The sequence below is a fragment of the Homo sapiens genome, chromosome 2 (assembly GCF_000001405.40).
Source record: "Homo sapiens chromosome 2, GRCh38.p14 Primary Assembly".
Taxonomy (NCBI): domain Eukaryota; kingdom Metazoa; phylum Chordata; class Mammalia; order Primates; family Hominidae; genus Homo; species Homo sapiens.
The window spans coordinates 126160398-126162491 of NC_000002.12; the positions used below are offsets into that span (position 1 = coordinate 126160398).

Sequence of the window (2094 nt, forward strand, 5' to 3'; positions counted from 1 at the left end):
TTTTTGTAGTGTTACTTAAATTTCAAACAAAATATTACAGAGGAATCTAAGATATAGCATGGAAAAAATATTTTAAAAATCAGAATTGTGGTGGCTGGCAAGATGGCCAAATAGGAACAGCTCCAGTCTGCACCTCCCAGCGAGATCAACACAGAAGGCAGGTGATTTCTGAATTTCCAGTTGAGGTACCCGGCTCATCTCATTGGGACTGTTTAGACAGTAGGTGCAGGAGGGCAAGCTGAAGCAGGATGGGGAGTCACCTCACACAGGAAGCACAAGGGGTTGGGGAATTCCCTACCCTAGCCAAGGGAAGCTGTGAGGGACTGTGCCATGAGGAACAGTGCATTCCAGCCCAGATACTATGCTTTTCCCATGGTCATCACAACCTAAAACCAGGAAATTCCCTCCGCTGCCTATACCACCAGGGCCCTGGGTTTCAAACACAAAACTGGGTGGGCATTTGGGCAGACACTGAGCTAGCTGCAGGAGTTTATTTTGTGGCACCTGGAATGCCAGCAACACAGAACTGTTCACTCTCCTGGAAAGGGGGCTGAAGCCAGAAAGCCAAGAGGTCTAGCTCAGCAGATCCCACCCCCACAGAGCCAAGCAAGCTAAGATCCACTGGCTTGAAATTCTTGCTGCCAGCACAGCAGTCTGAAGTCGACCTGGAATGCTCCAGCTTGGTGTGGGGAAGGGTGTCCACCATTACTGAGGCTTGAGTAGGCAGTTTTCTCCTCGCAATGTAAACAAAGCCACCAGGAAGTTCGGACTGGGCGGAGCCAACCACAGCTCAGCAAAGCCACTGTAGCCAGACTGCCTCTCTAGATTCCTCCTCTCTGGGCAGGGCATCCCTGAAAGAAAGGCAGCAGCCCCAGTCAGGGCTTAAAGATAAAACTCCTATCTTCCTGGGACAGGGCACCTGGGGGAAGGGGTGGATGTGGGCACAGCTTCAGCAGCCTTAAACATTCATGCCTGCTGGCTCTGAAGAGAGCAGTGGATTTCCCAGCACAACACTCGAACTCTGCTAAGGGACAGACTGCCTCCTCAAGTGGGTCCCTGACCCCCATGCCTCCTGACTGGGAGACACCTCCTAGCAAGGGTCGACAGACACCTCTTATAGGAGAGCTCCGGCTGGCACCTGGCGGGTGCCTCTCTGGGATGAAGCTTCCAGAGGAAGGTACAGGCAGTAATCTTTGCTGTTCTGCAGCCTCCACTGGTGATACCCAGGCAAACAGGGTCTGGAGTGGACCTCCAGGAAACTCCAGCAGATCTGCAGCAGAGGGGCCTGACTGTTAGAAGAAAAGCTAACAAACAGAAAGGGATAGCATCAACATCAACAAAAAGGACATCCACACAAAAACCCCACCTGAAAGTCACCAACATCAAAGACTAAAGGTACATAAATACATGAAGATGAGGAAAAACCAGCCCAAAAAGGCTGAAAATTCCAAAAACCAGAACACCTCTTTTCCTCCAAAGCATCACAACTCCTCGCCAGCAAGGGAACAAAACTGGATGGAGAATGAGTTTGATGAATTGACAGAAATCGGCTTCAGAAGGTGGGGAAAAACAAACTCCTCCAAGCTAAAGGAGCATGCTCTAACCCAATGCAAGGAAGCTAAGAACTTTGAAAAAAGGTTAGAGGAATTGCTAACTAGAATAACCAGCTTAGAGAAGAACATAAATGACCTGATGAAGCTGAAAAACACAGCACGAGAACTTTGTGAAGCATACACGAGTATCAATATCTGAATCGATCAAGCAGAAGAAAGGATATCAGAGATTGAAGACCAACTTCATGAAATAAAGCATGAAGACAAGATTAGAGAAACAAGAATGAAAAGGAATAAACAAAGCCTCCAAGAAATATGGGACTATGTGAAAAGACCAAAACTACATTTGATTGGTGCAACTGAAAGTGACGGGGAGAATGGAACCAAGTTGGAAAACACTCTTCAGGATATTATCCAGGAGAACTTCCCCAGCCTCACAAGACAGGCCAACATTCAAATTCAGGAAATACAGAGAATACTACAAAGATACTCCTTGAGAAGAGCAACTCCAAGACACATAATCATCAGATTTACCAAGGTT

The 2094-nt window shown here is 47.5% G+C and overlaps 2 annotated features.

The window, feature by feature from the left end:
- Positions 683–1184: an enhancer, noted in NCBI's record as "NANOG-H3K4me1 hESC enhancer chr2:126918657-126919158 (GRCh37/hg19 assembly coordinates)". NCBI's record gives its function as "activates a minimal SCP1, AML or CMV promoter by ChIP-STARR-seq in naive H9 embryonic stem cells {active_cell/tissue: H9 hESC(naive)}" and the evidence as "EXISTENCE:reporter gene assay evidence [ECO:0000049][PMID:30033119]".
- Positions 1185–1684: an enhancer, noted in NCBI's record as "NANOG-H3K4me1 hESC enhancer chr2:126919159-126919658 (GRCh37/hg19 assembly coordinates)". NCBI's record gives its function as "activates a minimal SCP1, AML or CMV promoter by ChIP-STARR-seq in naive H9 embryonic stem cells {active_cell/tissue: H9 hESC(naive)}" and the evidence as "EXISTENCE:reporter gene assay evidence [ECO:0000049][PMID:30033119]".